Raw genomic sequence first — 12,530 nt, 5'->3', positions numbered from 1 at the left:
CTACCTTGGCGCGTCTCCGTGGGGGACACCTAGCCTTTGTCACCTTCGTCCTGGCCCTCCCGTGAGACACACTTCAGGCACAGTTCGCTGGGAGCGGGCCGGAGCGAGGCGCACACTCAAGACAGAGTCCGTCTTTGTCACGCCTTCTGCGCCCCCTCCCCTCCCCAGCTTGCACACGTGGACACACCGCACACCGAGGTTCGCCTTTTGCACGCACGGTCCTTCTCTGGGACCTCCACCAGTCACCAAGCGTACGTGGGATCGTCACCAAGCGCTCCTCTCACGCGTGGGCCGAGTCCAGACCACTCTGGACCGTGGGCAAAGGTCCCCCTCGGCCCGACTACCCCGCGCCCGGGTTTCCTGTGACCGTTCCAGGTTCTGCCCAACTCGGAGCGCGCTCTCCCCTCCCGGCGTCCCCGTTCCCTGCTCCGACTTGTCCTAATTAGCCTTCACGGTTTTGTTCCCCGAGGTACAGTGTTTAGCGCGACCCCCTGGGCCTCTGCGCTCCGGGACACGTTGGCTCTGACTCCGAGTCCGTCCTTTCCAGGAGGTCAGGTTCCCACCAGCCCCACCCCCCACTCCCTGTTCCGGGGTGGATCTGTGGGTTGCCACCCTTTCCCCTCCGGCCCCAGGAATCTGCTGAAGCTGGACCGCAGAAATTGGGAAGCGAATCCAGGCTGGTACTTATCCAGCCCGATAAACAAGAGATTTTCCGGCCGCCTTCCCCCGGGGCTGCTGGCCTCGCGGGGGGTGGGGTGCGCAGTCCTGGGGGCCCGCAGCGAGGCCTAGTTAGCCCGCGCCAGAGGCCCGTAGGGGCTGAGGCGCACAGAGGAGGGAGAGGTTGTTGGGCCTGGCCAGGGCCCTGGAGACGCGGAGGGAGGGCAGGGCGCCGAGTCTCGGGGTGCCGGTTCTCATGACGCCGAATTGCCTGGGGGATCGCCAGCGGTGCGCCGGTCGGAGCCAGCTGGTGGCGGGGCGGGCGGCCCGGAGTGTTTGCTCAACCCTGAGCGCCCGCGAGGGGGAGGGGAGGCAGCTGGTCACGGGCTAGGGGGTAGCAAGGTGGAGGAGCGGGGGCTGGGAAAGGGGAGGGTATCTCCCGGGCTGCTTGTTTGCGTGCCTGCCGCGGTCTACGACAACCGGGAGTCTAAACTCTATGAATCACCCGGAGTTGCTGGAGCGATAAACCTCAGGCTGGTTCCTCCCCTCGCACACCGGCTTCTCGGACTCCTGGAGGGAATGTTTGCTTAGCGGCCGGAGCTGGCGGTGAGGCCCTGGTTCTCTAGAACCCTGTATCCCTTCCTGGCCTTGCCCTCACGGGCTGGTCTGGGGTGGCGAAGACTGAATTGTTTCAAGTCTCTTCAATATTAAGAAGAGGGGCGCAGTGCTGCTGCTGATCTGTTGCTCACTCCTGGGCTCCCTTCCGTAGCTCCACCTCCCACCCTAAGATTCAGAGGCCCCCATGCCAGGGAGGCAAACGCTTGTAGGGTCCAAGCAGTTGAGTGCCAACGCTAGAAAGGCAAACGGCGGGTCAGACCTAGGCGAGGGGCATCCGTGACTGTGGGCTGGGACTAGTTCTCGTGAAGCAGGCAACTGGTGCTGAACACAGTGTGCTGGGAGGGGCCGCTCATTAGCATATGTGAAAAGCCAGCTAAGAGCTAGAGGAAGGTGGAATGGAAATAGTCCCCGAGACTGCTTGTGACCTTAAGAAGCCAAAGATGAATTGTGGATCTGGCAGATCTGTTTCAATTTATTTTCAAGCTTTGGGAATCTCTTTTCCCTACCTAGATTCTCCAAAAAGGCAACTCTTTACCACTCCCTCCCGACCCAGGCGGGGGAAAGGCTGGGGCATCTGAGGCCTGGACGGAGCAGCGGAGCCCTGCCCACTGCCAGCCCTGCATGGTAGATGGCGGCGGATATGTAGGGAGGTTTCCTGAGAGCTGTTTGCTCTTTTTGTGTTCACTCCGTCTCACTTCCTGGGCAGGATTTGCCTTTAAAGGACAAAGCAAGTCCTTTGGGGCCGATGACATGGGCTTCAGCCTTCAGGGTCCCTGTTGGTCTCTGCTCTAGTCCCGGGGGCCTGTGCTGGTCCAGAGTGGGGAGGCAAGAGTTGGAGAAGGCATGAGACCCCTCCACCATGAGTCAGACCCTGGTGGGGGCTGCTGGACCCAGCGAGCCTGTGATGCTGGAAGGGAAGTTCTGTGGGAGGTGGCGCTGCTTTCCGAGACTCCAGCCACAGGGTCCTCTGTGCCCCCAAATGTCCTTCACTTTGATTTAATACCCCAGTAGGCGTAGAACCCATTGCAAACTCTGTTTTCACCAAAAAACTACACTCTGAGAAGTGTTCAAAGAGTGCTACTGTTCAAAGAGATCTTGAGGCCCAGCACAGTGACTCACGCCTATAATCCCAGCATTTTGGGAGTCCTAGGTGGGAGGATCGCATGAGCCCAGGAGTTGGAGACCAGCCTGGGCAACATAGACTTCATCTCTATTGAAACAAACGAAAAAGAAAATAGATATGGGGTCTCACTGTGTTGCTCTGGCTGGTCTTGAACTCTTGAGCTCCAGCGATCTTTCCGCCTCGGCCTCCCAAAGTGCTGGGATTCCAGGTATGAACCACTGCGCTCAGCCTATTTATTTTATTTTTTTTAATATATGAAATAAAAAGGAAAAAAAAAGATTCTGGATTGCGGAGAAGCATGTCTGTGTCCACCACCCAACTACCTCCACCCCCACCTGAGTTGGATTCCTACTGGCAGAGTGAGAAACCCTTTGTTCGTTGGAAAGCCTCCTTCAGAGATGTCTGAGGTCTTGACAAGGCCCAAAGGTGGGAACACCTGTGCCACCTGCCGGCTGTGTGACTTGGATGAGTTGCTTCATCTCTCTGAGCCCTGCTTTCCTCAACTGTAAAACTGGATGATAACATCACCCCCAGAATGAAGCTGTGTCTGGAATGTTCCTCACACAAGCCTGGTGCTTACAGGGAGCCAGCGATCAGCCTCCCCTTTCCTGGCATGATTGTCATTCCCTCTAAGCCTTGACAGGTCTGACAGTTTTTATTTATAATTTAAATTTAAATTAATCAATTATTTTTGAAACAGGATCTCACTCTGTCACCCCAGCTGGAGTGCGGTGCTGCGATCTCGGCTCAGTGCAGCCTCAACTTCCCAGGCTCAAGCAACCCTCCTGCCTCAGCCTCTCGAGTAGCTGGGACTATAGGAGTGCATCATCATGCATGGCTAATTTTTGCATTTTTTTGTAGAGATGGGGTCTCACTATGTTGCCCAGGCTGGTCTGGAACTCCTAGGCTCAAGCAATCCTCCCTCCTTGTCCTCCCAAAGTGCTGGGATTACAGGCATGAGCCACCGTGCTTGGCCTAATGGTTTTTAACCCAAACTCTTGCAGAAGCTGGCATTCTTTCAGTTCTGTTTCACCATGATTGGAATAGCTTTGCCATGCCATGCTCTGTGTGATGTTCCTTCCACCTCGAACATTTTATGCCTCTTACCATCCTTTTTCTTTGTGACCAAAAAGTTTTAAAAAATCTGCCCTGCCCCAAAGCTCAGCTCCAATGTTCCTTCCTCTGTGAAGCGATCCTCACCTTCCCACGAAAGACCCATTGTGAGTTGCCCTATTTACCCACAGCCTGTTACACATTCATTTATTTATCATTTATCCTAGTGTATCATAATTAGCCTTCTAAATTGTTTTTTCTCCAATTACACTGTGCCCTTCTAGAGAGCCAGGGACATGTCTCACTCATCTTGTTTTCCCTGGCATCTGGCACTCAGACGGGTGTGGGTAAATGTTTTCAGTAAATGCTTGTGGAATATCCGTTATTCTGTGGCTGGCCACGGCCGATCTTCCCCCTCACACCAGCAGCCTTGCAAACAGCACCACCCCTGCCCTGCCTCCCGTACCCCACTTTCTGAGAAGCAGGCAAGCCCCAGTGCCTACTGGAGAAGTCACCTGCCATGGGGCTGCAATGCCCTGCATCAGAGATGAGGGCAGGAGGCCCTGGCACCCCGGCTTTGGGCATGGAGAGGCCTACCCAGGGAGAGCCAGAGGTCAGTTGTGTTGTTTAGAGGGACTTCCCAGTTTGCCTGGGCAGCAGGAGTTCTGGATTGCAGTCTCACCCTGCAGAATCTCCAACAGGAGCCATTTCCTCCTCCACAGAGTAGAAGGCCTGCTCCCTCTACCTGGGGAGTGGAGAGCCCTAGGTCTTGCAGCCAGGCCCCAGATGGGGAGGAATAGTCCCTCACTGAGCTGAGGGTGGGGCTCCTGCTTCCTGACAAGTTGGGGCCTGGAATCCTGTGCTAGGTGGCTGGGTGCCCTGCAACCCACAGCCGGCTGCTGGTAAACAGCATTTCACCTCTCCTTGCTCCCAGGCTCATATTAACTGGTTCCTGCCCTGGCTGCAGTGTCTGGCCAAATCTCTTTTTCTCTTAGGCTCATAGGACTTTCTGCTTGGAGCAGCGGGAACTGCCTAGTTTTTTGAAAGGACTCGGGTCCCATCGTGGCCCCTTAAGAAGGAGGAAGCCAGGGCCAGGGAGCAGGCGAGTGAAACCCTCATTCACCACAACTGGCTGCCCATGGGTGATCGCTCTGGAAGTGTACCCGGAAGCAGGCCTTGGGCAGAGTCCACTGGAATGTCACCTGATGCTGAACCCTCCCCCATGGCTGCAAAATCTGCTCCTCCCTCATCCCCCTCCCTGCCCAGGGCTCAGTGGCCGCTAACCAACTCCCTGTGGAAGGAGAGAACGGGGTCCCCTGAGCTGCTCTGATCTGGTCAGCCTCCATCCACAGACTGCGCAAATCCTGAGAACCAGACATCAAGGCCAAGGGTCCAGGGATCCAGGCCACTCAGTCAGCCTGCCTCTATCAAAATCAAAATGGAAACGTGTAGCCCTCACTGCAATTTGTTCCCCTACCTTCAGGAAGCGTCTCACCCCAATCTGTGAGCATTTCGGGGGGAGCATTCCTTCTACCTTGCTGCAGTGGCTACACCAGCCCCCAGAGTGATGGCCCCTGGTGGCAGTCTTCTCCAGTCACCCTGCAAACCCCCATCCGGGGCAGGACCTTCACTGACTTCACCCCAACACCTTTCATTCCTAACACCTTCACTGGCTCCTGGTGCCTTTATGTGAAAGTCCAGGCTCCCTTGCCTGGCATTCAAGGCCTCTGCAACCTGTACCTAGCCTTGACTCCAGCCTCTTCTCCTTCCTGTTCCCCCACAGGAAATGGTCACTCCAGCCTGAGAAGCCTGCTCTGAGTCTGCCTCGCCCCCGCACTTGCCTTCCTGTGAGTTCGCTCACATGTCCCGTATTCTCAATCCAGGATGCCTCTCTCCTCCTCTCGACCTCTTGATTCCATCCCCCTTTAAAGCCCTTGGCTCCTCCCAGAGGCTTTTGCTGGTACCCCCCACCCTGTAGTCCTCTTCCTCCCTCTGCTCTCCTGGGATCCCACCTCTGGCATGCATTTGCTACTCTTACATGGCTCTGCCTTAGATGTATCTTTTTCGTTTTTTTTTGAGACGGATTCTTACTCTGTTGCCCAGGCTGGAGCACAGTGGTGCAATCTTGGCTCACTGCAACCTCTGCCTCCTGGGTTCAAGCGATTCTCCTGCCTCAGCCTCCCAAGTAACTGGGATTACAGGCGCCCACCACCACACCCAGCTAGTTTTTTTTTTTTTGTATTTTTAGTAGAGACAGGGTTTCACTATGTTGGCCAGGCTCGTCTCAAACTCCTCACCTCTGCTGATCCGCCCATGTTGGCCTCCCAAAGTGCTGGGATTATAGGCATGAGCCACCGTGCCCGGCCAGGTGTATCTTATAAACAGAGATCTTGCCTCCCTGGCTCATGATAGGTCTGTAGGGAATGGACTCTGGATTTCATGCCTCTCCACGCCCATGGTCCCTAGCACAGTGCTTTATACATCCAAAAAATGGGCACTACATATCTGTGGATCAATTGGATTGATTGGCCAAGAGCTGAGAGAGGCTGTCAGCCTTCTATAAGGGGAAAGGAGGCCTCAGGGTCTAGACTTTGCTTTGCTGCTGACAAGAACCCAGTACTCAGATCCTGGGCTCCCTGTGGCTCCCAGAATTCCAGGCGGAGAAGTTCAGAGAGATGCTGGCTAGTTGGATAATACGATACCCATAATAGCTTACCTCTGTATATTGCTGTACAATTTCAAGCACCTTTTATATATATTTGATGCTTACAACCCTATAAGCCTCCATAAGGCAGATGTTATTGTCTCCATCTTATATATTTAAAGACTGAGGTTCATAGAGACTCAGTGGCTAGCTGTAGATTAGAACTATCTTCCTTTAGCCTGCTGGACTTGCACCTCACTGTACCGTGCTCCCCAGTACACTTCTCTTATCTCTTATATAGCCCTGACATTTTCTGCCTTATCGATGGTTATTTCTGTCATGCTTTATGTCCCCAGCCAAGGTATAAGCTCTTGGGAAGGGAAGATGTGTGCCTGACCCATCTTTGTGTTTCCCCTGGGGCCCTGCCTCAATTAATACTTGTAAGGGAATAAATGAATGAAGGAGGATACTGGAAAACACATAACTGTTGTCAAGCTGGAAACGGGCTTGGCCACCCTCCCTTCTTCCAACAATCCCTTCACCTTCAGACGCCAGCTTCAAGACCGCACTGCACGGGGCAATTGCCTGGCCTGTGGCAGGGCTGTGTCTCCCTGCCCGCCCATCTTCATTTCCCATCCCTATTCTGCTGGTGGCCACTGGCCTCCTAAAGTCACATCCGCCTGGCACACACTGCAGCCTCCCCTACCTGCAGGGCCATTCAGCCCTTTAACACCTTCTCCAGCCACTGCCACCAAAGACTTCAGGAGACCCACTCACTGATGCCACCCTCTTGCCTGGGATTTGAGGCCACCCCTGACTCAGCTGGGGCCCCAGGTAATGGTGGGAGAGCCGCAGGGGAGTCAGACATGCCCCCACTCACCAGAGATGGTGCCTCCAGCAGGGCAGGGCAGGGCCAGCCAGCTGGCTTCTGGGTGGTGTCCAGTCCCAGCTGTCCCCGGCAGTGCTTGAGGCTTGACTCGTCTCGCTCTCCGGAAGCCCAGCTGCGGCGCAGCCCGAGGCTGCCGGGAACCTAGCCGCGCTATTCTGGGAGTGTGATGGAGCCCCAGAAGGCTTGGCAGGGGCTGAGATTTCAGCCCTTTGGTTTCCACGCCGTTCTCCTCCCCTCTGATGATACGGCAGAGTTCAATCATTATGCAAAATTCAGAACCACTGATGGTGCGTTTGAGGGTCTTAATAGCAGCCGTGGTTATGCTAAAGTGGGACCTGGGTCTATACTTCAGGCCTCGGATGCAATAGCCTTCATTCTTGCTGTCACTCACATGGCCTTTCGGCATTTTCCTTTGGTTTTATAATTTGTCCTCATGCCCACCCTGATACATTAACCCATTCACAGGCACGAGACAATCCCTCCCAGTTAAACCCAGTGACCAATTTCCTCTGAGGGTCTATTTTCCTATTAAAAAAATTTGGTTTTTTTTTTAACCACTGGACTATGTGGGATCTCTTTTTTTAATTGAGACTGGATGATTCTGCAGTGTAAGCAATAAAAGAAAGTTGACTTTGGGGGACAAATGATTAGAGCTGTAATCAAACTCAACTTCCAACAAAGCAAAGCGCCCCAGGGTTGGCCTCTGAGAAGCTGCACCCCCCAGACGATGGGGCTGACTTCGTTATCCTTACGGGGAAGCTGGAGGCCAGGGTGAGAGGAGCCTACCAAGGTCACGTGGTGACGGGCATAAAGCTTAAGCCTGGGTTTTTGTTTGTTTGCTTGTTTGTTTGTTTGTTTTGAGACGGAGTCTTGCTTTGTTGCCCAGGCTGGAGTGCAGTGGTGCCATCTCAGCTCACTGCAGCCTCCGCCTCCTGGGCTCAAGCGATTCTCCTGCCTCAGCCTCCCGAGTAGCTGGAATTACAGGTGCCCGCCATCACGCCCAGCTAATTTTTGTATTTTTAGTAGAGATGGGGTTTCACCATATTGGCCAGGCTAGTCTCGAACTCCTGACCTCAGGTGATCCACCCGCCTCTGCCTCCCAAAGTGCTGGGATTACAGGTGTGAGCCACTGTGCCCGGGCTTAAGCCTGGGTTTTGACTTCCCCACATGGAATCACAGTTTTAGAGCTAGAGGGGCAGTAGAGGAGCCCAAAGAGCACAGAACTTGCCTATCTATAAAATGGGGCAATGGGCAGGGCACAGTGGCTCACGCCTGTAATCCCAGTACCTTGGGAGGCTGAGGCGGGTGGATTGCTTGAGGTCAGGAGTTCAAGACCAGCCTGACCAACATGGTGAAACCCTGTCACTACTAAAAATACAAAAAATTAGCTGGGCCTGGTGGTGGGTGCCTGTAATCCTAGCTACTCCGGAGGCTGAGGTAGAAGAATGGCTTGAACCTGGGAGTCGGAGGTTGCAGTGAGCAGAGATTGTGCCATTGCACTCCAGTCTGGGCAACAGAGCAAGACTCTGTCTCAAAACAACAACAACAACAACAACAACAACAACAAAGGCGGGGCAATGACCCCTGCCTCTGGGGCTTGCTGTGGAGCTTAAATGAAACCACAGATCCCAGAGCCTCTGGTAGCGGACCTTAGTGATTGGGTGCTGCTAGCTCCAGGCTCATCATCCTCTGTTCCGCAATTCTGTCGTGGGGAAAGCAGCTGGCAAAAACGGTGATGAAGCCGGCCCCTCGACTTCCTCCAGCATCAGTGCACAGCTTCAGAACCAGTTACATTGTTTGTTTAGAAAGCGGATTCCTGGGCCCCTTTCTGAACTGTTGAATCGGAATCTCTAGCCGACGAGCCTCCAAGCCTGTTTCACATCCACATCACCCAAATGTGGTTAGTGATTGATATGGTTTGGCTGTGTCCCTACCCAAATCTCATCTTGAATTCCCAGGTGTTGCTGGAGGGAACTGGAGGGAGGTAATTGAATCATAGGGGCAGGTTTTTCCTGTGCTGTTCTCATGATAGTGAGTAAGTCTCATGAGATCTGATGGCTTTATAAGTCAGAGTTTCCCTGCACAAGCTCTCTCTCTTTGCCTGCTCCCATCCATGTAAGGTGTGACTTGCTCCTCCTTGCCTTCCACCATGATTGTGAGGTCTCCCCAGCCGTGTGGAACTCTAAGTCCATTAAACTTCTTTCTTTTGTAAATTGCCCAGTCTCGGATATGTCTTTATCAGCAGCATGAAAACGGACTAATGCAGTGATGCACACTGGCCTTGGGAACCAGGGAGGCAAGTTTAAGAATTGTGGATGTTAACTATGAGGAATGAAAGGAGAAACAGCCACAATACAAACAGTGTGGATGCCCCATGAAGGATTCAGGTTGGCTGCTTCTTGGAGAAACAGGGATCAGCGTAGGGTAGGGCCAAGGTGAGGTGGCACAGAGGGGTCCACAATGAAACCTTCTAGAAAATTAGAGCCTTGGCCGGGTGTGGTGGCTCACGCCTGTAATCCCAGCACTTTGGGAGGCCAAGGAGGGTGAATCACCTGAGGTCAGGAGTTAGAGACCAGCCTGACCAACATGGAGAAACCCCATCTCTGCTAAAAATACAAATTAGGCGGGTATGGTGGCACATGCCTGTAATCCCAGCTACTCAGGAGGCTGAGGCAGGAGAATTGCTTGAACCTGGGAGGTGGAGGTTGTGGTACGCTGAGGTCGCACCATTGCACTGCAGCCTGGGCAACGGAGCGAAACTCCATCTCAAAAAAAAGAAAATTCGAGCCTTGGCCAGGCGTGGTGGCTCACGTTTGTAATACCAGAACTTTGGGAGGCTGAGGCAGGTGGATTGCTTGAGGCCAGGAGTTCAAGACCAGCCTGGTGAACATGGTGAAACCCCATCTCTACTAAAAATACAAAAATTAGCTGGGCGTAGTGGCAGGCAACTGTAATCCCAGCTACTCAGGAGGCTGAGGCAGGAGAATCGCTTGAATCCAGCAGGCAGAGGTGGCAGTGAGCCAAGATCATGCCACTACACTCCAGCCTGGGTGAGTGAGTGGGACTCCATCTCAAAAAAAAAAAAAAAAAAGAAAGAAAGAAAGAAAAGAAAAGAAAACGAGAGCCTTACATTTCTTTTTCTCTATTCTTCCCTGTTTTTTGCCTTACCACTATTGAAAAGATAATTAAAGGATTAGGCATCGCCTCCTTTCTTGTGCCCTCTTTCCCCCTTCCCAAAATACTTCCCATGCCTGTCTGAAGTCATCCCTATGAAAACATGGTTCCTGGGAGTTCTAGATTCACCTTCTTCGCAATCTCCTGTAAGCTTTATTAAGACCATAACCTGGCCCAGTGTGGTGGCTCATGCCTATAATCCCAGCACTTTGGGAGGCCAAGGCAGGAGGATTGCTTGAGCCGAGGAGTTTGAGAACAGACTCAGTGACATAGCAAGACCCCGTTTCTTAAAAAAATACAAAAATAAGCTGGATATAATGGTGCATGCCTGTGTTTCCAGCCACTTGGGAGACCGAGAGAGGAGGATCGCCTGAGCCCGGGAGGTCAAGGTTGCAATGAGCCGAAATCCTGCCACTGCACTCCAGCCTGGGTCACAAAGTGAGACCTTGTCTCAAAAAAACGAAAAATGAATGAATTTTAAAAAGACTATTACCCACTGTATAAAACACCCTTAATATAAGTAACTCCACCTTAGAAAAACATTTCATTTTATATTTCATAGAGTACTTTCCCAACGAGAATAAGATGTTTTGCTTGGCCAGGTGCCGTGTCTCATGCCTGTACTTCCAGCAATTTGAGAGGCCTTGGAGGATGGATTGCTTGAGCCCAGGAGTTTGAGACCAGCCTGGGCAACATGGCAAAACCCCGTCTCTACCAAAATACAAAAATTAGCTGGGTGTGGTGGCGTGCACCTGTAGTCCCAGCTACTCAGGAGGCTGATGCAGGAGGATCGCTTTAGCCCAGTAGGCAGAGGTTACAATGAACCAAGATCGCACCACTGCTCTCCAGCCTGGGCAACAGAGTGAGACCCTGTCCCTTGACCCCCAGAAAAGTTTTGCTTAATAAATCAACAAACAAAGACTGCATCCAACCAGATAAGGATGGACAAAGAAGCACACTCTCACGATCAGTTCTCACCAAAGGATTCTGTAACCATTAAAAGAGCAGGCCTTCGGCCAGGCGCGGTGGCTCACGCTTGTAATCCCAGCAGTTTGGGAGGCTGAGGCGGGTGGGTCACCTGAGGTCAGGAGTTCGAGACCAGTCTGACCAACATGGAGAAACTCCATCTCTACTAAGAATACAAAAACTAGCTGGGTGTGGTGGCGCATGCCTGTAATCCCGGCTCCTCAGGAGGCTAAGGCAGGAGAATCGCTTGAACTCAGGAGGCGGAGGTTGCAGTGAGCCGAGATTGTGCCATTGCACTCCAGCCTGGGCAACAAGAGTGAAACCTCAGTTTCAGGGAAAAAAAAAGAGCAGGCCTTCTTCTAGTGGTCCTAGCACAGCCTTGCACTGCCTCCTGATAACAACCCAGTCTCTGCCTTCGAAGCCTCTACCACATCAAAGACTCTTCCTTGCAGGACTGAAGAGCAGGGCCCAGACCAGGACTCCTTTTGTCTTCTTTGCTCCTGCTGGACTGGTTTGTTAACTCTTTCTCCTATCTCTCTCCTCTCGATGTTAAATGCTACTTTGTTTGTTGTGGAATGGTTAATGTATAACGTGTATATATTGCTTAAGTGTATTATTATGTATGGTTTGCAGTATTGATGGACCCATATGTGCGGCTCTAAGTACAGGCGAACGGGAAGTACTAAGGAGAATTGCCTCCTTGGGAACTCCATGTAGCTCATGGCTTTTGTGATTGAAATGCGTCAGTAAAAGCCTGACATTGTGGAAAGACACAAGCACGCGTGCGCTTGGTTATCTCTAACCTTGCACTGTTCTTGACACTCACCCAAACCTGTCTATCAGAATTTTTATTTTATCAAAGTGCTCCAGGTGACTGTTACGTCTAATAAAGTTTGAGAGCCAATGAAATACAAATCCATTTTCTTTTCTTTTCTTTCTTTCTTTCTTTCTTTTTTTTTTTTTTGAGTTGGAGTTTTGCTCTTGTTGCCCAGGCTGGAGTGCAATAGCGTGATCTCGGCTCACCGCAACCTCCGCCCCCTGGGTTCAAGCGATTCTCCTGCCTCAGCCTCCCGAGTAGCTGGGACTACGGGCGTGCGCCACCACGCCCGGCTAATTTTGTATTTTTAGTAGACATGGGGTTTCTCCATGTTGGTCAGGCTGATCTCGAACTCCCGACCTCAGGTGATCCACCCACCTCGGCCTCCCAAAAGTGCTGGGATTACAGGCATGAGCCACCGCACCTGGCCCAAATCCATGTTCAAAACAAGCAAATGCTTCCCAGGAGGGTTAAAGTGGAGTCTGGGGGCTGAGGAGCCGTAGCTGTGATCGGATTGTGTGTGGTAGGATGGCAATACGATTAAACCAACTCCTGGGAAAGGAGGTTTGATGGGGAGAGAAGCAGTGAG

General features: G+C 52.5%; 3 annotated features.

Moving 5' to 3' along the window:
• Nucleotides 808-947: a silencer, noted in NCBI's record as "silent region_8932". NCBI's record gives its function as "represses an Ori minimal core promoter by ATAC-STARR-seq in GM12878 lymphoblastoid cells {active_cell/tissue: GM12878}" and the evidence as "EXISTENCE:reporter gene assay evidence [ECO:0000049][PMID:35858748]".
• Nucleotides 4,411-5,175: an enhancer, noted in NCBI's record as "H3K4me1 hESC enhancer chr17:72422872-72423636 (GRCh37/hg19 assembly coordinates)". NCBI's record gives its function as "activates a minimal SCP1, AML or CMV promoter by ChIP-STARR-seq in primed H9 embryonic stem cells {active_cell/tissue: H9 hESC(primed)}" and the evidence as "EXISTENCE:reporter gene assay evidence [ECO:0000049][PMID:30033119]".
• Nucleotides 6,909-7,409: an enhancer, noted in NCBI's record as "H3K4me1 hESC enhancer chr17:72420638-72421138 (GRCh37/hg19 assembly coordinates)". NCBI's record gives its function as "activates a minimal SCP1, AML or CMV promoter by ChIP-STARR-seq in primed H9 embryonic stem cells {active_cell/tissue: H9 hESC(primed)}" and the evidence as "EXISTENCE:reporter gene assay evidence [ECO:0000049][PMID:30033119]".

Source organism: Homo sapiens, chromosome 17 (genome assembly GCF_000001405.40).
Source record: "Homo sapiens chromosome 17, GRCh38.p14 Primary Assembly".
Taxonomy (NCBI): Eukaryota; Metazoa; Chordata; class Mammalia; order Primates; family Hominidae; genus Homo; species Homo sapiens.
The sequence above is the reverse complement of the archived record's forward strand: the minus strand, read 5'-3'. Positions and strand labels throughout refer to the sequence as shown.